General features: G+C 36.0%; 1 long non-coding RNA gene across 5 annotated transcripts in view; it reads left to right on the forward strand.

Annotated features, from left to right (window-relative positions):
• The window catches only part of CCDST (cervical cancer associated DHX9 suppressive transcript), a 177,390-nt gene that overhangs the window by 37,545 nt on the left and 118,510 nt on the right, over window positions 1-21,335 (forward strand). The gene's annotated exons all lie outside the window — the stretch shown is intronic.

Below are 21,335 nucleotides of genomic sequence, written 5' to 3' on the forward strand. Positions count from 1 at the left end.
TGGTCTCTTCTCTCCCCATTGAGAATTACTTATTAAGAGTAGGACTAGATTATCACAAAAGTCACTTTCAAAACAGTTTCTTGTTTTTTTTAGAGTGTGTGCTCCATAGTAACAGAGTTGGACATGAAGATTCCTCCATCATGGGTTTGGTTAGTGGTTTTTCCACTTGGAGATGATAGGTTTCAGGAGAAAAGCTTTTCTATGGTATGTGCCATGTTCTAGGTTTTTGAGTGCCTTTCTCTGTGTGTTGGCAGAAGAATGAAAATTACATTCCTTTTTATGACAAGCACAGTGCTTTGTGTGTGGGTGTACATTGTTTCATTAATTCTTACAACAACCCTGTTATCTAGATATTATATTTCCATTTTGCAGATGAGAAAACTGAGGCTCAGATGAAATCTGTAACTTGTTTCAAGTCACTTAGCTGTTAAGTGGAGAAGACAGAATTCAAATTCAAATCTGCTTTTTCCTAGGAATAGTCAGCAAGTAGGGAAATATTCATGTCTTGGTAAAGGAAGGGTTTTGGAAACAGTTCTTCAGGAATGGAGTGTTTCACCTAGGAAAAACAAACAAACAAAACTAGCAAGGATAAACAGTGAAGTTCCAGTACCATCTGTGTGCACTCATTTTTTTCTGCCTGTCTGGAAGGCAGAGTAATGTGCCTATTGCACCATCTGCTGGGTCATAGGGAAATTCTAAAGCAGATCTTTTCTTCATTGCCTTTTCTGCCCTTTTTCCTTACAGAAATTATTTCATGGAATTTCTATAGTTCTTTGTAGCCTAGTCTCTATAAATGAGGAGACTATGTAAAAAATAGGGGTATGTATATAAGAGAAGGTTGATGGTCATGATTTTGGGTAAATGGAATCAAAAGAAGTTAGCTATAATATGAAACTGGTTAAATAGTGCTTCCTTCTATATCCTCTTTTGAGTCCTTTTTACTGTTATCTCAAAAAATAAAAAATGGATTCGATATAATTTTACAGCTTAGTATATATTCCCTGGGGATGAGACAGGCATGGTGACATATCTTTCAGCTTCAGACCCACACCCTGGAATATATTCTGCTTCAGTACTGGTCTGCCTATTGAGTTGTTTCTTTCTCCCTTAATATCCTCCATTTTCTCTTCCGAGAACTCCAAAATGCTTCAAATGCTGGGAATCCAGAGCTCATTCATACATGTATCCTTTTATTTATTCCATCAGTATCTTTCTCTAATATATATATATATATATATATATATATATATATATATATGAGAAAAAAATATATATATAGTTTTTTTTTTTGGGTCTCACTGTTGCCCAGGCTAAAGTGCAGTGGTGCAACCATGGCTCACTGCAGCTTCCAACTCCAGGGCCCAAGTGATCCTCCCACTTTAGCTTCCCGAGTAGCTGAGATTATAGGTGTATGCCACTGCATCTGTCTAATTTTTATATTTTTTTGTAGAGATGAGGTCTCACTGTGTTACTTAGGCTGTGTGTTCTTATCTTGATGTTTGATGCTCTTACTGGCTTGGTATTCATAGTCTCTATCCCTTAGTTCCTACTACCTGAAACATTCAGCATGCAGACCTGGTCCATTAAAGTGGACAAATGGAGAAGAGTGACTGGAAGCGATTCTCACAAACACTTCAAGTGTTAGAAATGGTACCAAAAAAAAAAAAAAAAAAGCTGAGATATAAGGACCTTGATTGTTGGAAATCAAATCCAGAACATTTGCCTTTCGATGTGCATGCGTGCGTGCGTGCGTGCATGTGTGTGTGGCAGGGGATAGTGGTGGGATAGCAGATAGAGAAGGGAGAGTGAGGCATTGTAGTATGAATGTAATGAGTAGCAAACTGATCAGACCTCTGTTTCCTTTCTGGCCTCATCTTTCACCACTCTCTCCCTTGTGGTACCCTGCTGAAGCCATATTAGCTTCCTTGCTATTCTCCAAAACCTCCAGGCATCCTTCTTTTTAAAAGAATTTTTGCCAGAAATGCTCTTCCCCTAAATGTCCATTTGGCTATATCACTTATCTCCTTCAAGTCTCTGCTCAAATACCACCTTCTCAATAAAGCCTACCCTGACCCTTCTATTTGATATATACTTCTAACATACCATATGGTTGGCTTATTTACTAGGTAAGGTTTTGAGCAGAGGAGTGGCATGATCTGACTCACTGCTATGTTGATACTAGACTGAGAGGTAAGATAGAATAAGGAAGATGAGTCAGAAGACAGATGAAGGAACGGAAGTAATCAAGGCTTCTGACTTGGATGGCAGTATGTATGGTGGTAACATTCACGAAGAACAGCAATACATTTTTTGCATTTTTAGTAGAGATGGGGTTTCACCATGTTGGCCAGGTTAGCAGGGCGTGGTGGCATGCTCCTGTAATCCCAGCTACTCAGGCGGCTGAGGTGGGAGAATTGCTTGAACCTGGGAGGTGGAGGCTGCAGTGAGCTGAGATTTTGCCACTGCACTCCGGCCTGGGCAATAGAGCAAGACCCCATCTCAAAGTAAATAAATAAATAAAAAGCAAAGCAATAAATGAGAAAGAGAAGGTATGAGATGAGGGGAAATAATGATGAATTATCATCTAATTTATTTCTATCATCCATTTCCATCTCTTAATAACTGAACTCCTTAAAAGAGCAGTCAGCACTCCTTGTCTCTGACTCCCGTAACTTTCACTTACTCTTCAACACTTTATAGGTTGATTTTCACAGCTTCTTTCAGGCTTTTTGAAGGGCTTTTCTTCCATGGTCTGTGCTTAAATGTTTTTACTCTCCAAAGCTCCATCCTTAGCTCTTTGCCTGTTTGGATCAGTTTCCAGTCTTACCATTTATAAAGTAGGGTAATGGAGCAGAATAGAGACAAGACACATTGTTAATTCATAAATTTTTGTTGGCAATATTTATGCAATTGGAATGTCAAAACTAGAGCGTTAGAAGCTCTGTCTATAAACTCAAGCATATTGCAGTCAGTCACAGTGATCTGATGATACTATAAGACTTAATACATTTCTGTACAAGTTATGTAAAATATAAAATTTGGCAGAAACTTCAAAACTTGAACTTTCATATTTAATGCTCTAGTTGAAACCCAACAACAAAATTTTTCTTTAATATTAAAATTTAAACTTACACCACTTACATATGCTAACTGAGGAGGGCAAGTATGCACTGTCCTTTAAAAGAAGATCAATATTAAGTAGAAGAATTAAGGTAGGATTACATTTTTAAAGAAAAGGTTAGAGCCAGATAACTTTGTCCTCAGAAAGAACTTGTCACAATAAATTCCTGTTTTTTATGTTTTTCTTCTCGTCTTGGTTTTTGAGTTAGTTCCTCTCCTGTTGGTGTCTCACTTATTAAGGTAATGGTCACATTGCTTGTCGATATATTTTTAGAGTGTAGCATTGTTATAAAAAATAGTAAAAACTTGTTTTTGCTTGCTTTCATTGTTACTTGCCACAGAGCTTTTTTTTTAAATTAGTATCTTCTGTGTACATGTCAATGTGATTTATAGATATTTAGACATTAACTGTTCAAATCCTTAGGTGAAATATTAGTATTTCTGTCTTACAGACAGTGAAATTGAGGTTTGACGATGTTAATTAACTTGCAAAATCACATCAATACTAAGTGGCAGAAGTAGAATTTGAACTCAGGTTTCTGACTTTAAATTAGGACTCTTAACTCTTAAAAGACTCAACTCTTAAAGTGACAATTACACTGGGCAAGAATATTTAACACATGCAGAATGTTAGTCTGAATCAACAGTATTGTGTATGTGGAATTGTGTAATTATACATGTCTTATAAAACTATCATAATTAATGATAATAATAGGCTTTATAATTATAATTTACTAACCTAAGTTATATAATATAAATATGGAGTTACTATTTGATTAGCAAAAATGTTAATTCCAGTTGTTTTTGCTTGCTTCTTTTTATGGTGTTGGAATTTTGCAAGGCTCTGTTTTAGATACACTTAGCTTTTTTTTAATTTTTAAAATTGATACCTAATAATTATACATATTTATTAGATACATGTGATATTTTGATACATGCATATGATGTGTAATAATCAAATTAGGGCAATCAGGGTATTTATCACCTCTAACTTTTATTATTTATTTGTGTTGGGAACATTCCAAATCTCTTCTAGCTATGTTGAAATAAATAATTAATTATTGTTAACTATACTCACCATAGGATGGTATCAAACACTAGAACTATTCCTTCTAGCTGTATTGTTGTACTCATTAACCAATCTCTCTTTATCCTTCCTCCTTTTTACCTTTCCCAGCCTTTGGTAACCATCATTCTACTCTACTTCCATGAGATAAGCTTTTTTAGCTCCCACATTTAGTAAGAACATGCAATATTTGCCTTTCTGTGCCTGGCTTATTTCACTTAACATGTCCTCCAGTTTCATCCATGTTGCTGCAAATTTCATTCTTTCTTAATGGCTAAATAATATTCCATTGTGTATATATACCACTTTTCTTTATCCATTCATCCTCTGATGGACACTTAGATTGATTCCATATTGTGACTATTGTGAACAGTGCCACAATAAATGTGGGTATGCAGATATCTCTTCAATAAATTGATTTTCTTTCTTTTGGATAAACACCCAGGAGTGGGATTGCTGGATCATATGGTAGATCTATTTTTAGTGCTTTGAGGAACTTTCATACTGTTTTCCATAGTGGCTGTACTAATATATATGCTACCAACAGTGTATAAGAGTTCTCTTTCCTCTGCATCCTTGCTAGCATCTGTTATTTTTTTCTTTTTAATAATAGACATTTTAACTGGGCTGAGATGATACCTCATTGTGGTTTTCCTTGATAATTAGTGATGTTGAGCATTTCTTCCTATGCATTTTGACCACTTAAATGTCTTTTGTGAAATATCTATTCAGCTAATTTGCTCACTTTTTAATTTTTTTCTTTGCTGTTGAGCTGTTTGGTTTCCTTATAAGTAATGGTTATTAATCCCTTGTCAGATGGATAGTTTGCAAATATTTCTTCCCATTCTGCAGGCTGTCTCTTCATTATGTTGATTGTTTCCTTTGCTGTGCAGAACTTTTTAATTCAATATAGTTCCATTTATCTATTTTTACTTTTGTTGCCTGTCCTTTTGAGGTCTTACCCCCCAAAAAATTTGCCTAGATGAATGTCTGAAAGTGTTTCCCCAATGTTTGCTGTCAGCAGTCTCCTGGTTTTAGGTATTACATTTAAGTCTTTAATCCATTTTGAGTTGACTTTTGTATATAGTGAGACATAGGGGTCTAGTTTCATTCTTCTGCATATGGATATCCAGTTTTCCCAGAACTATTTATTGAAAAAGATATTCTTTCCCCAATGTATGTTCTTGGCACATTTATGAAAATGATTTGGCTATAAATATGTGGATTTATTTCTGAGTTCTGTATTCTGTTCCACTGGTTTATGTGTCTGTTTTTGTGTCAATACCATGCTGTTTTGATTATAATAGACTTGTAGTAAATATATATTTTTAATTATACTTTAAGTTTTAGGGTACATGTGCACAATGTGCAGGTGTGTTACATATGTATAAATGTGCCATGTTGGTGTGACTTGTAGTATATTTGAAGTCAAGTAGTGTGATGCCTCCAGCTTTCTTCTTTTTGCTCAAGATTGCTTTGGCTATTTGGGGTCTTTTGTGGTTTCATACAAATTTTAGGAATGCTTTTTTCTATGTCTATGAAGGATGTCATTGGTATTTTCATAGGGATTGCATTGAATCTATAGATTTCTTGGAGTAGTATGGACATTTTAACAATATTAATTCTTCTAATCCATGAGCATGGGATATTTTCCCATTATTTGTCTCCTCTTCAGTTTCTTTCATCAGTGTTTTATAGTTTTTATTGTAGAGAACTTTCACTTCTTTGGTTAAATTAATTCCTAGACATTTAGGGTTTTTTTTGGTATTATTATAAATGGGATTATAAGATGGATTTCTTGGTTTCTTTTTCAGATTGCTTGCTGCTGGTGTATATAAATACCACTGAATTTTCATGTCGATTTTGTATCCTGCAACTTTACTGAATTTGTTTATCAGTTCTAAGAATTTTTTGGTAGAGTCTTTAAGTTTTCCTAAATACAAGATCATGTTGTCTGCAAACAAGGATAAGTTGATTTCTTCCTTTCCAGTTTGGATGCCCTCTGTTTTTTTCTCCTACCTAATTGCTCTGGCTAGGACTTCCAGTACTATGTTGAATAGGAATTGTGAAAGTGGTCATCCTTGTTTTGTTCCAGAGCTTAGAGGAAAGCCTTTATTTTTCCCCATTCATTATGATGTTAGCTGTGGATTTGTCATATATGGCCTTTATTGTTTCTTCTATACCCAGTTATTGAGAGTTTTTATCATGAAGCAGTGTTGAATTTTATCGAGTACTTTTTTTAGCATCTATTGAAATGATCATGGCTCTTGTTCTTGATTCTGTTCATGTGATGTATCACTTTTATTGATTTGCATATGTTGAAGCATATGCATAGGAAGCTTTTATTCCTAGGGTGAACCCCACTTAATCATGATAAATAATCTTTTTAATGTGTTGTTAAATTTGGTTTGCTAGTATTTTGTTCAGGATTTTTACATCTATGTTCATCAGGCATATTGGCCTGTAGTTTTCTTTTTTTGTTGTGTTTCTGTCTGGTTTGGGTATCAGAGTAATGCTGGCCTCATAGAATGAGTTAGAGAGAATTCCTTCCTCTTCAATTTTTGGGAACAGTTTTAGAAGAATTGATGTTTATACTTCTTGAAAAGTGTGGTTGAATTTGGCAGTGAAGCTGTCTGGTCCTGGACTTTTCTTTGTTGAGAAATTTGTTATTACTGATTGAATCTCATTAATCATTATTGGTCTGTTCAAATTTTCTTTTTTTTTTCCTGATTCAATATTGGTAGGTTGTATGTTTCCGGGAATTTATCTGTTTCCTCTAGGTTTTCCAATTTGTTGGCATACAGTTGTTCATTATGATCTCTAATAATCCTTTGTATGTATCTGTGGAATCAGTAATCAGTTGTAATGTCTTTTTTTCATCCTTGATTTTAACTGGGGTCTTTTCTTAGTCTAACTAATGGCTTCTTGATTTTGTTTATCTTTCCAAAAAACCAAATTATCATTTCATTGATTATATATATATAGTTATATATAGTTATATATAGTTATATATATAGTTATATATATAGTTATATATAGTTATATATAGTTATATATATATAGTTATATATATAGTTATATATATAGTTATATATAGTTATATATATAGTTATATATATAGTTTCAATGTCATTTTTCATTGATTATGTATATTATATATGCTCAATGCCATTTTTTCATTGATTATATATATAGTCTCAATGCCATTTCTTTCTGCTCTAATTTTTATTATTTCTTTTTTTCTACTAATTTTGGGTTTGGTTTGTTCTTGCTTTTCTAGTTTCTTGAAGTGCCTCATTAGATTGTTTATTTGGAGTCTTTCTACTTTTTTTGATGTAGGCCTTTATTGCTGTGACTTTACCTCTTAGAACTACTTTTGCCATATTCTATAGATTTTCATACATTGTTTATTCATTTTTTCCTCAACAAATTTCTTATTTTCTTCATTGACCTATTCATTGTTGAGGAGCATGTTGTTTAATTTCCATGATTTTGTGCAATTTCTATTGTTCCTTCTATTATTAATTTCTAGTTTTAATCCATTGTTGGAAAGATATTTGATATGATTTTGATTTTTAAAAATTTGTAAAGACTTGTTTTGTTCTTTGAAAGTTTAGTTGAATTTGTCAGTGAAGCCATCTGTCCTGGACTTTTCTTTGCTGGGAAACTTTTTATTACTGATTTAATCTCATTACTCATTAATTGACTGTTCAGGTTTTCTGTCTTCCTGATTCAATTTTGGTAAGTTGTATGTGTCCAGGAACTTACATATTTCGTCTAGGTTTTCTAGTTTGTTAGTGTATAGTTCATAATAGTCTCTGGTGAACATTTGTAATTTTGTGATATTAGTTGTAATGTCTCCTTTTTCATTTCTGATTTTACTTGAGTCTTTTTTCTTTTTTTCCTTGGTTAGTCTAGCAAGTGTTTTATTGATTTTGCTTATCTTTTCAAAAAACAACTTTTCATTTCATTGATCCTTTGTAACATTGTTTTAGTCTATATTTCATTTAGTTGTGCTCTGATCTTTACTATTTCTTTCTTTCTGCTGATTTGGGGTTTGGTTTGTTCTTACTTTTTAGTTCCCTGAGGTGCATTTTAGGATTATTTGAGATCTTTCTGTTTTTTTTTTTTTTGATGTAAGTGTTTATTGCTGTGAACTTATTTCTTATCACTGCTTTTGCTGTATCCCACAGATCTTGGTATGTTTTGTTTCACTTTTCATTTGTTTGAAGAAATTTTTTATCTCATGTTAATTTCTTTCATGACCCAGTGGTCATTCAGGAGCATGTTGTTCAGTTTCCATGTATTTGTACAGTTTCCCAAGTTCCTCTTGTTATTGATTTCTAGTTTTATTCCTTTGTAGTCTGAAAATATACTTGATATGATTTTAGTTTTTAAAAATTTATTAAGACTTGTTTTTTATCCTAACATGATCCATCCTGGAGAATGTTTCTCGTGCTGATGAGAAGAATGTGTATTCTGTAGCTATTGGATGGAATGTTCTGTAAATGTCTTTTAGGTCCATTTGATCTAGAGTGTAGCTTAACTCTGATGTTTATTGACTTTCTGTCTGCATGATCTGTCCATTGCTGAAGGTGGCATGTTTAAGCTCCCCACTATATTGTATTGCAGCGAATCTCCCTTTTAAATGTATTAATATTTGACTTATATATTTGGATGCTCTGGTGTTGGGTGCACATATATTTAAAATTGTTATATTGTTTGGTTGTATTGACTCCTTTATATCATTATGTAATGGTGTTTTTTGTCTTTTTTCAAAATCATTCGTTTTTTATTTTTTATTTTATTTTTTCACACATTTATTTCAGCAAAACATCATCCTTTGTATTAAGTTAACATTAATTTGGATTTTAGAGTTTATATGGTTTTGTTTTTATCTTTTATGTAAGTTAATTTTGGTTCTTCAGTTGTGTAAAAATTACAAGGGAAATGAATTTATATATAACTAGTTAAAACTGACACATACAGGATACACATTACAATAAAAACAATTTAAGTCAATCCTGGAAATGAAGTCTGCAAAAATATCTTCATTGGAAGGGTTAACATAATAATTATATTTGAGAAGCACCACTTTTTACTATTATCAGTAACCTTCTGCTTAAAAATTCACCAAAATACCCTATTGCATATATTCTTTATATTCAGTCCAAACAGCCCTTCCAATCCACACCCAAAGTCATCTTAGTTTTTTCTTTCCTTTCATCTACTTGCCCTCTGCTGAAGCCCCTGGATCTTCTCCCCTGTGCCCTCAGGAACTCCTACTCCTCCATAAAGACCCAGCTCAAGTGCTACTTCCTCTGTGAAGTCTTTCTGGAATCCCCACAGGATTTAATGCTCCCACAATGTATCACTCAGGGCCTTGCAGGAAACACACCACACATTCCAATGGGTAGTTGAAGGACTTTACTAGAAAGGCATTGTGACTTCTGAGAAACAGATACAGGTTGTGGAAGAGGCTGAGGATACACTCAGTATCCCACCTCACACTTTTCCTTTCCTTTTATCTGCTACCAGGGTCCCCATTGGCTGAACCTAACTAGAAGCCAAAGGGCAAAGAAATCCTGATGTTTAATTTTATGTGTCAACTTGACTGGGCTAAGGGAGTCCCACATAGCTGGTAAAACATTATTTCTCACTGTTTTACCAGAAACAGAATAAGAATGTTTCTGGAAAAGATGAGTATTTGAATCCGTAAACTGAATAGAAAAGGTCACCTTCACCAATGCAGCTGGGCATCATCCAATCTGTTGATGGCCACAATAGAACAAAAAGGCAGAGGAAGGAAGAATTTGCTTTCTGCTTGAGCTGGGACTTGCATCTTCTCTTGCCCTTGGACATTGCACTTCTGGTTCATAGGCCTTCAGAACTTGGACTAGGACTTACTCTCAGAGTTCTTAGGCCTTCGTGTATGTGTGTGCATATATATATATATATATTTATTTATTTATATTTATATATGAGAGAGAGAGAGGGATTATACATTGGTTTTTTCTGTAAAAGTTACGCTGAGTTTGTCTGCCTTCCTGCCTTTTCTTCTACCTCCTCCACCTCTTCTTCTGCCTCTGCTACCTCTGAGACATCAAGACCAGCTCTTCTTCTACCTCTTCCTCCTCAGCCTACTCAACATGAAGGCAACAAGGATAAAGACCTTTATGATGATCCACTTCCACTTGATGAATCGTATGTTTTCTCTTCCTTATTTTATTTTATTTTATTATTTATTTATTTTTTTAGGGAACAAAATATAATTATTTAATAATTAATATTAATCAGTAAAATCTTAATACATGTAACAACATGGTTGTATCTCAAAACATTAGGAGAAAAAAGTTGAACAAAAGATTGCATAATTGTATTTACATAAAATTCTAGAAAGTCACAAAACAATAGAGACTGGAAGTAGATTGGAGTGGTGTGGTGCTGGGATGGAGGGAGGGGAGGGATCTAAGGCAAATTAGAAAAATCTGCTATGGTTTGGGACTGTGTCCACCCCGCTCCCTACATCTCATGTCAAATTGTAATTCTCAGTGTTGGAGGTGGGGTCTGGTGGGAGGTGATTGGATCATGGGGGTAGAATGTCCCTCTTGCTGTTCTCATAATAGTGAGTGAGTTCTCACGAGATCTGATTGTTTAAAATTGTGTAGTACCTCCCCCCATCTCTTTCTCCTGCCCCCGCCACGTAAGACATGCCTAGTCCCCTTTACCTTCTGCCGTGATTGTAAGTTTCCTGAGGTCTCTCTAGCCAGGCTCCCTGTACAACCTGTGGAACCGTGAGTCAATTAAACCTCTTTTCTTTATAAATTACCCAGTCTTAGGTAGTTCTTTATAGCAATGTGAGAACAGACTAATACAAAAACTTTTTTAAAAAATTTATATATATGTGTTTTATATAATTATATATAATTTATATAATTTTATATATAAATATATGTGTGTATATATATATATATATACATACATTTTTTTTTTCCACAGCCAATGTCATACTGAATGGACAAAAACTGGAAGCATTCCCTTTGAAAACTGGCACAAGACAGGGATGCCCTCTCTCAACACTCCTATTCAACATAGTGTTGGGAGTTCTGGCCAGGGCAATCAGGCAGGAGAAGGAAATAAAGGGCATTCAATTAGGAAAAGAAGAAGTCAAATTGTCCCTGTTTGCAGATGACATGATTATATATCTAGAAAACCCCATCATCTCAGCCCAAAATCTCCTTAAGCTGATAAGCAACTTCAGCAAAGTCTCAGGATACAAAATCAATGTGCAAAAATCACAAGCATTCTTATACACCAATAACAGACAAACAGAGAGCCAAATCATGAGTGAGTTCCCATTCACAGTTGCTTCAAAGAGAATAAGATACCTAGGTACCTAGGAATCCAACTTACAAGGGATGTGAAGGACCTCTTCAAGGAGTGCTACAAACCACTGCTCAATGAAATAAAAGAGGATACAAACAAATGGAAGAACATTCCATGCTCATGTGTAGGAAGAATCAATATTGTCAAAATGGCCATACTGCCCAAGGTAATTTATAGATTCACTGCCATCCCCGTCAAGCTACCAGTGACTTTCTTCACAGAATTGGAAGAAACTACTTTAAAGTTCATATGGAACCAAAAAAGAGCCCACATCACCAAGTCAATCCTAAGCCAAAAGAACAAAGCTGGAGGCATCACGCTACCTGACTTCAAACTATACTACAAGGCTACAGTAACCAAAACAGCATGGTACTGGTACCAAAATAGAGATATAGACCAATGGAACAGAACAGAGCCCTCAGAAATAATGCCACATATCTACAACTATCTGATTTTGACAAACCTGAGAAAAACAAGCAATGGGGAAAGGATTCCCTATTTAATAAATGGTGCTGGGAAAACTGGCTAGCCATATGTAGAAAGCTGAAACCGGATCCCTTCCTTACACCTTATACAAAAATTAATTTAAGATGGAATAAAGACTTAAGTGTTAGAACTAAAACCATAGAAACCCTAGAAGAAAACCTAGGCAATACCATTCAGGACATAGGCATGGGCAAGGACTTCATGTCTAAAATCATTCTTAATTAAAACCTCTTTTATCTAAGCATAGCTACTCCTGCTCTCTTTTGATTTCCATTTGCATAAAGTACCTTTTTCCATCTCCTCACTTTCAGTCTGTGCATATCTTTATAGGTGAACTAAGTTTCTTATAGACAGCTTATAGTTTGGTCATTTAAAAAAATCCATTCAGCCACTCTATGTCATTTAATTTTAGAAATTAATTCATTTATATTAAAAGTTATTAATGATAGGTAAGGGTTTACTATTGGCATTTTGTTACTTATTTTCTGGTTGTTTGGCAGAGTTTTCTCTCTCTTCTTGTTTACCTTTGTAGTTAAGTGGTTTTTTCCCATAGTATGTTTTGATTTTGTGCTATTTATTTGTAGTGTATTTATGATAGGTTTTTGCTTTTTGATTACCATAAGGCCTACAAAAACATCTTATGTTATTACAGGTTATCTTAAGCTGATAATGACTTAACTTCATAGCAAAGAAAAGAAAAATAACAATAACAAAAACAACAATAAAAAACCCTCTGCAGAGGGTTTAACACTATTCTTTAACACTATTTCTTTAACACTATTTAACACTATTTTTTAACACTGTTTCCTCCCCATTTTTTGACTTTTTGATGTTTCAATTTACATTTTTATATTGCCTATCTCTTAACCAATTGTTTTAGTTATTGTTTTAATAAATTTTTCTTTTAGTCTTTATTCTTAAAATATAAGTGACTGACTGACTTCAATTACAGTTGAAGTAAGTAGACAGTCTGAGTCCACTCATGGACACGTGTGATCCAGCACAGGAGAAAATCAAGGATCCTGCCATGGGCAGTCAAGACATTTAGAGTATTCTGAATTTGTCTGTTTTTTTTTTTTTTCTTTTAGCAGTGAGTTTAATTACTTTAGATGTTTTCTTGTACATTAGCATCCATTTCTTTCAGATTGAAGAACTCCCTTTAGCATTTCCTGTAAGACAGGTCTGCTGTTAAGGAATTCTCTCAGCTTTTGTTTGTCTGGAAATTCTTTATCTCTTCTTCATGTTTGAAGGCTAACTTCGCTGGGTACAGAATTTTTGTTTGGCAATTCCTTTTTTCCTTTGTCACTTTGAATATAGCATCCTGTTCTCTCCCGGTCTGTAGAGTTTCTGCTGAGAATTCTGCTGAAAATTGTATTGGGGCTTCACTGAATATGATATATTTCTTTTCTTTTGCTGCTTTGAGTATTCTTGCTTTGTCTTTAATTTTTGGTAATTTAATTATGATATGTCTTGGGGATTTCCTCTTTGGGTTGAATTTGATTAGTGACTTCTGAGCATCTTGTACTTGGACGGCATCATCTTTCTCCAGATTTTGGAAACTTTCAGCCATTATTTCCTTAAATATGCTTTCTAGGCCCTTCTCTTTTTTGTCTCCTGGGAATTCTTGTTATATGGAGGTTAGTTCACTTGATGATGTCCCATAATTATTATAGGCCACTGATGGGCTGTAACTAATTCATGGTCTTCTACCTCTGCTAGGTCCAGACTGACAATGAATATTGACAGAGACTTTCCCCTTGACCTAACTATAACTAGTCAGGCTCTTCTGAACCCAACTAGAGCCCATTCTTGGGAATGTCCGCAAGAGTCCAGTTTTAGCAAGAATCCTGTTAAATCAGTTTAGACAGAATCCTCCACCCTTAATATCTGATCACCTTCAGTATCTGACCAAATTCTTCCTCTCTCACCATCTCCCAGGTAATATGGGATCACTGTGGCCTGTCTTCAGTAAGAATCTTGTTAGGTCAGCTTATCAAGAATTATCTTACCCTTGCAGTAGTTTTTAAACTACTGACCCTCCACATTCTTCTTCTTGGCTATAAATTTCCTCTTTTCTTTGTTGCATTAGGAATTGAGCTCCATCTCTCTCCCCACTACAAAAATCCCATTGCAGCAGTCCCTACACTTTTCAAGGTAGCCCTGAATAACACCTATCTTACCAGTTTAACAAGTGTTAGTGTATTCTTTTGCTTTAATAGTATCAAATGATTGTTTATGGCTTATTCCTGAGTATCCAAGATTAAATCTTTGCCTTTCTGTCTTACCTGTTGATTCAGACCCTGAATGATCAGGAAGATCCTGACTGCTTAAGACTAGGCTTTGGTGAAACCCCATCTCTACTAAAAACACAAAAAATTAGTCGGGTGTGGTGGTGGGCTCCTGTAGTCCCAGCTACTCGGGAGGCTGAGGCAGGAGAATGGTGTGAACCTGGGAGGCAGAGCTTGCAGGGAACTGAGATGGTGCCACTGCACTCTAGCCTGGACGACAGAGTGAGACTCTGCCTCAAAAAAAAAAAAAAAAAAAAAAAAGGACTATGCTTATTTGTGCTTTTATGTGCTTTTATCTCCAGATTTCAATGGACTGAAATCAAGGTTGAATGGTCTATTGTTTTTCAGACTATACACAGCTGTATCAGCACTTCCATAGCTGCCATGTTTACAACTATAACCTGATCCTTGCACCATTACTATCACTCTGTATATGATTAGACCCAAATTCACCTTGGGTTTGACTTGTCTGGCTTCTGAGTGTGTTATCTATCTCCTGCTTGATTATGACTATGACTTGCTTGTCACTGGAGGGAACTTCCTCTGTCCATTGTTTTACTGATCATCACTTCTCATGACTAGACCCAAACTGTCCATGAATTTATATCTGGCTAGGAAAAGACATGGATTGTCTAGAGCTGTCTCATATCTATTCATGGGCCATCTATCTGCCTTTTTCTAGTGTTGGATCCTGATTGTTCATATATAGATTCAGACTAACCATTAGTGGATGTTTGTCTGTGATAAGACTGAGCGTTTAGAGTTTATAGAAATATCTCTTATCAACCAACTGTCCATGGGCTGATTCTATCTCTGTGTCTCCAGATTGTATTTTATGGCCACTGACCTAATTGTAACTTCATCCTTGAAGTCTGCTTATTTTGGGTCCAGAATATATTAATAGTGCTCATCTGTGAATTGACCCTGAAGGTCTAGTGCTGCCTTTTGATTGTCTGTAGTGAACCAATTTCTTTTCCTTATGTTGAACACAGATTCTTCTTGGAAGACTAGATTGCCTATGAGTAGATGTCCATCCTTGATGAGTTTCTGGCTTACCTTTTGACTGTCCATGGCTAGAACTATCTCTTTTTTTTTTTCTGGATCCAGACTGCCTATGCCTATATACAACTTGACCACAGGAGAAGGGTAACTGTCTATCCCAGCCTCCTAACTATGCTTCATTACTGGAAAGAGTAAATTTAGATCTCTGCTGTTTATGCTGGATGTAGACTGTACAGGTGATGATTATCTATGAAAAGATCATGAATGTCCAGAGCTCTCTCCTTATTGACTGTAGCTGGATCCATGTCTTCTTATATTGGGTCCAGATTTTCCATGTGTAGACCCAGACTGTCCATAAATCGATGTCTGTCCTGAGCATCTAATGCTATCTTATGATTATCTGTGGTGAGAGCCTTGTTTTCCTATTTTATCAGATTTCTGTTGTTTGTGGCCATACCCAGGCTATTCATGGGTTCATGCTGACTGTCTGAGTTTTCTGATTGTCTTTCAATATCATTAGATTGACTATACCTGGGCACCTTGGTCCATTTGTACTGATTCCAGACTCTGTAGGTGATGATTGGTTATGAGATGACTTGGCACTCTCTCCTGACTGTCCATTGAATTCATGCAAACTGTCAATGACTGGTTATTTGGCCCTGCTGAGATACTGACTATCTGGAGCTTCTTCCTGTTTGACCATGACTAGGGTTTTGTTTTCCTCTTTTGCTGGATCGGTATTGCCTATGACCATATTTAGACTGGTCATGGGTAGATACTGACTGTTCTTTTGAATCTCTTGATTGTCCCTCACTGTCACTGGACTAACTATAGTTAGAACTCCTGGCATACAGATGGCATGTCAAAGAACTAGAATGAGACTCCCTATGGAAGAATGTGTAGATATATAAGAAAAAAAGCAACAGATAGAACTCTGGAGACTTTCAGTCTTTAGAAGTCAAGCAGAGGAGGCAAAGCCAGTCAAGTAGATGCAGAAGTAGTGGCCAGTAAGGTAGGAGGGAATCTAGGAACGTATAGTGTCATGGGAGCCAAGAGAAAGAAGGAAGGAGAGGTTAGCTAAATGCTAAATGCTGCCAGGGTACTAAGCAATTGAAATGACCATTGAACTTAGCCATATGGATGTTGCTTAGTGGCTTATTTGGCATTTGAGATGTTTATAGGCATTTCAAACTTGATGTGACTAAAACAGAGCTCCTGATTTCTCTATCATCAAACTATAGTGCACCCGTTGTTCTTCATCCAAATAATCATAAAAAGTATCATCGTCAACCAGCTTGGTCAGACTAAAACATCGAGTCATCTTTCATTTCTCTTTTCCTCATCTTGTAAGTACAGTCCATCAGCAAGCGCTGTCAGTTTTCTCTCAAAAAAGTTTTATTTTCTTTTTGAGACAGGGTCTCATTTTGTCACCCAGGCTGGAGTGTGGTGGCACGATCTTGGCTCACTGGAACCTCTGTCTTCCAGGCTCAAGCGATCCTCCCACCTCAGCCTCCCAAGTAGCTGAGACCACAGGTGCACGCCACCATGCCTGGCTAATTTTTGTATTTTTGGTAGAGACGGGGCTTTGCTATGTTGGCCAGGCTTGTTTTGAACTCCTAAGCTCAGGCCATCCACCTACCTTGGCCTTCCAAAGTGGTGGGATTACAGGCATGAGCCACCACACCCAGCCTCAAAATATTCTTAATCCATCTTTATTTCTATCTTTACTGCTAACAATCTAGTTCATGTTGCCATCATCTCAGCTATATTATTGCAACTAGTCTCTGCTCTTTCTTCTTGCTTCATCCCACAATCTCCTATCCACACAACAACCAGCATGAAGTTTTTAAAAATGTAAATCAGTGTTACTTCCCTGCTTAAAACACTCGAAGAACTTCTTATTATTCTTAGGATCTTAGATAAACTTTTTACTATTATTCTTTTAGTGATTTGACCCTCATCTGCCTCTCTGATCTTATTTTGTCCCTCCCTTCTCCTTCTTCTCCATGCTGTGGACTCACTGACCTTTCAGTTCAGAAGAATATGGTGTCTATTCTGCCTGTTCTTTTCTAAAGATGCTGTGCTCTGCCTTTTTTGTTGATCTCTTTTTCTCTATATAGCTGGTGTCTGTATTTCTGGTTTCTGTTCAGATGATTTCTCCTATGAGTAACTTTCCTTTCTGTCTCTGGTACATGTATTTTTCTTTATGTCATTTTATTACTGTTTGAAATTTGATTAGCTTCTGTTTCCCCCTCCAGAATGTGTAAGCTATTTGAGAGTGATGATTTTGTCTGTTTACTACTGTAAACTCAGAATCTAGAATAGGGCCTTGCTCATGGTTGGCAGGCACTTATCGATTATTGTTGTATGAATAAACAAATAAGTGTTTCCATCTGTGTAAAGTATCCTTCCTTCATTTTTCTTTAGCACATTGTTCACATTGTTTTCTTTGCATGCCTAGCACTCATTCTACATATAGCATGTAGTGTACTGAATTACAGTTGACATTTTATGGGATTGTCTCATATGATAAGTGATCTTTGTCAGGCGAGGCCAGTGATTACAGCTTATTCATGTTAGTATCCGTGTCATGTGTCAAAGTACCTACTCAGCAGTAGGACTCAGTTACATGAATCAATGGATGAATCATTCCATTAGAATTCAACCATCATGAATTCAGAAAATAGAGAATCAGAGGTTTGGTTTCCTGAAATCAGCTTCTGTCCTACTGATATTGATCTAACTGATCTTACTGATCCTGTCTAAATTATTGTATATCAAAAAGGATGCAGGATATAAGCATCCTCTGCATCTAAAGATTCAACAAGATGTATGACTCATCCAGTCCACAGTAAGAGCTGCATGATATTTAGATAAAGCCCTCTGAAAATAGTGGAGACAATCAATAATGCTGTCTTTCTTTCAGCCTACCATGTCTTAGGGCTGTACAATGCAGCAATGCAAAGAGTACTGAGTAATCTCAGAGAAAGCACATTTCAATCTTCAATTTCTTTCTCTATTAGAGAATCTTATGGTTACAGGGGACCTAAAATAACTTTTTAAGAAATCCAAGCATCCAGTAGTGTTTTGCAGAGTACGTCCCTAGATTTCCACTTTGGTTAACAATAAGTAGGAATAGTTGGATGGGTTCTCTCTTACCCAGTTCACCAACATACATGTAAGGATGTCGATTGAAGGAATGGCAGGATACTAAAGGTCAGGAGAGTGGCCTTTTATACCAGCTAAAGGTCCCTGCTCAGGAGAGGCCCCCTTTTGTGAATGGTCTGATTCATCACATTCTGATCCACCCATATGTCCACTTTTCTTTCTCTACTGTTTATTTCCTAACTTTTTCAAGTACTAGTTTCTGCTTATATTAGCAGCTTCCAGATTTAGGTTGACATTTGTCCTGGCTAGCATAAATTTTACAGAAGGATCTCTTTGGAAATAATAGCCTCCTTGTGTACATCTGTCATTATTTATACTTTGTTTTATTTCCCATATTGACCTAACAAAGGCTTGAGGCATATATGCTGAAAAGCAATGATCCTTGAGCTGAGGTAGTAGAATATGCATGTGTAAGAGGGATCTGAAATCCAAAATAGGTGAAGAGTTTTGGAGAGTTCCCAGCTAGGATTTAATCTCACCTAGTTTGTTACTGTGAATTCTATATGTGAGTATTATAGAAATATGCCTGGGAGTTAATGCACTACTAACTGTGATCTTTGATATATTGTTATAAATGGAAATGAGAGAACACTGGAGGTTGGCAGATTTAGTTGTATTATCCCAAATTGAAAAGTGAGGTCTATTTTTCTCTTTTTGTCATGGTTATTAACCTGGAATATCAGACATATGCTGCACACTCTGCCTTTGTGAACCTTGAGACAGTATGTTTACTTCTATAGTAGCACCACTAACTCTGTGCAAGAGACTCTCATAGAGATTCTCACTAACTCTGTGCAGGAGATTCTCAACCCTGGACTTTTTGTTTCTAGTCCTTTGTATCTCACTGCATATATAATCTCGCCACGTGGATACTTAGATACTTAGATATCCCCGTCATCTCATACTGGACCCATTATAATCTTTCCCCCAGGTGTGTCTTTTCTTCTATTGTCTCCTGTCACATATCAGTGACATTCTTTTGTGTCTCAGACTAAGGACTCTATAGTCATTCTTCATTTCTTCCCTTTCTTCACCTTCACACTCACATGACCACCACATTCTGTCAGTTTTACCACAGATTTATCTCCTGGATCTAAGCTTCCTCTCTGTCCTTGGCATGGCTTGTTTTATTCTGGCCCTGGCTACCTTGTATCTGGATTATTTCCAGAATCTTCTTAATTAGTCTTTTTCTACCATCAAGATATCTTCATACCAGTCCTTCTACATTGCTGCAAGATTCATATTCCTATGAACAAATATTATAACATTTTCTTGCCTTAAAGCTCCTGGTAGCTCTCCTTTGTCTATAATAAATTCCAAATTTCTTACCTTGGCATGCAAGCCTCCTGAAAATCAGGCATGAAACTTCACTTTTTTAGCCTTCTCTACTACCACTTGTCTTTTATGGGATTGTTCCTTTGAATGTTAACAACAATCCTTGATCATTTCTTATCTAATTAATGTCTTTGCACATACTATTTTCTCTGCCATTTTTCTTCTCCACCAGACAAGCTCTCTTACAAATCCTATAAGATCTGCCTGGAAATGTCATCTCCTTTATGATGCTTTCTGTGACATTCTCTGCAGTTTAAGCAATTCCTTCTAGTGAAGTTACTTGCATTGAAGTAGGGCCATCCCATAGCTCCTGTCACATTGTGTTACAATCGTTTGTTCATTTGCCTGTCGGTTACCCATCCCTATCACCTGGCCCCCATCTCTATGCCAATAGATATGGTTAATAGAGATTTTGCAAGCAATAATCTCTAGTGGTTTGGGACCTTTAGGGAAGGCATAGATGGTCCTCCTCTTGGAGCCACAATGTACATTAGCCTATTAAAGGCTCTGACTCTGAGAAGCTCTGTAGAACCCAGGACCCTGTCTGTAACCAGGGTTTCCCAAATATTTCTAATCAGGGAACTCTTCTTTTGAAGAACATCTATTATTAATCAAGGAATTCAGTAAGGGAACTGTTGTTCTGTATCAAATACTCTCTGAAGCATTAAAAAATGATAGACAAAAAGCCATGTTTTTGCTTCATTGTCAGCATTAGCATCTTTATCTCTCTTTATTTCTTCTCTTTTCCAGAGGATTTTATCACTTTATCACTCCAGCCACCTAGCTGAAAATGTATGATATGGGTAATGCCCTCAGGGGACTGGTACCCTGGTTTCTGTCCTTACAATGGATAGGCTTCCAAATCTTACTGATTCGTGGGTTGCTAACACAGCTTGCAGGGTGGTTAGCTATTATGTTGAAAGGCAATTTCTTTGAATGAATGTAGATCACCATTTTAATCAGTGACTTGAATGACAATGTGAATTGATGGCAAATATGTATAAGATTCAGGATGCATGAAGAAGATTTTATAGGCTGGGATGAAATGGTGGGAAAATCTGGAAGAAATAATTTTAACAATTGTATAAAAAAGTATCCTGAGCTGCGAACCTCTATATAACTAGAATAATCAGTGAAGTACAGTTCCAGAAGTCCTTCAAGTGTGGACTTGTGTCAGCGGTTATGCGCTTTTATGTTGAAGCCATAGATTTCTCAATCAATGCTGATCTTGTGGTGGTGAAGACTGGTTCAGTGTCTCCATCAGCATTTTAATACTTTTATTGGTGTGACCTGCTTTTACAATTTCCTATAGTTTTCCAGGAATTCATCTCTATTTTAGGATTGCCCAAACAACTTTGGGCAAAATCCTCCAAGGCTGGATCAGACATGTTAAATGCCATTCCCAGTAGTGGTAAGCATATCAGTGAAATTATGTGGAACACATACTTTTTGAGTTTTGACTGCTTCAGGGTGAATTTTTTTCT

This window comes from Homo sapiens, chromosome 1 (assembly GCF_000001405.40).
Source record: "Homo sapiens chromosome 1, GRCh38.p14 Primary Assembly".
Classification (NCBI taxonomy): domain Eukaryota; kingdom Metazoa; phylum Chordata; class Mammalia; order Primates; family Hominidae; genus Homo; species Homo sapiens.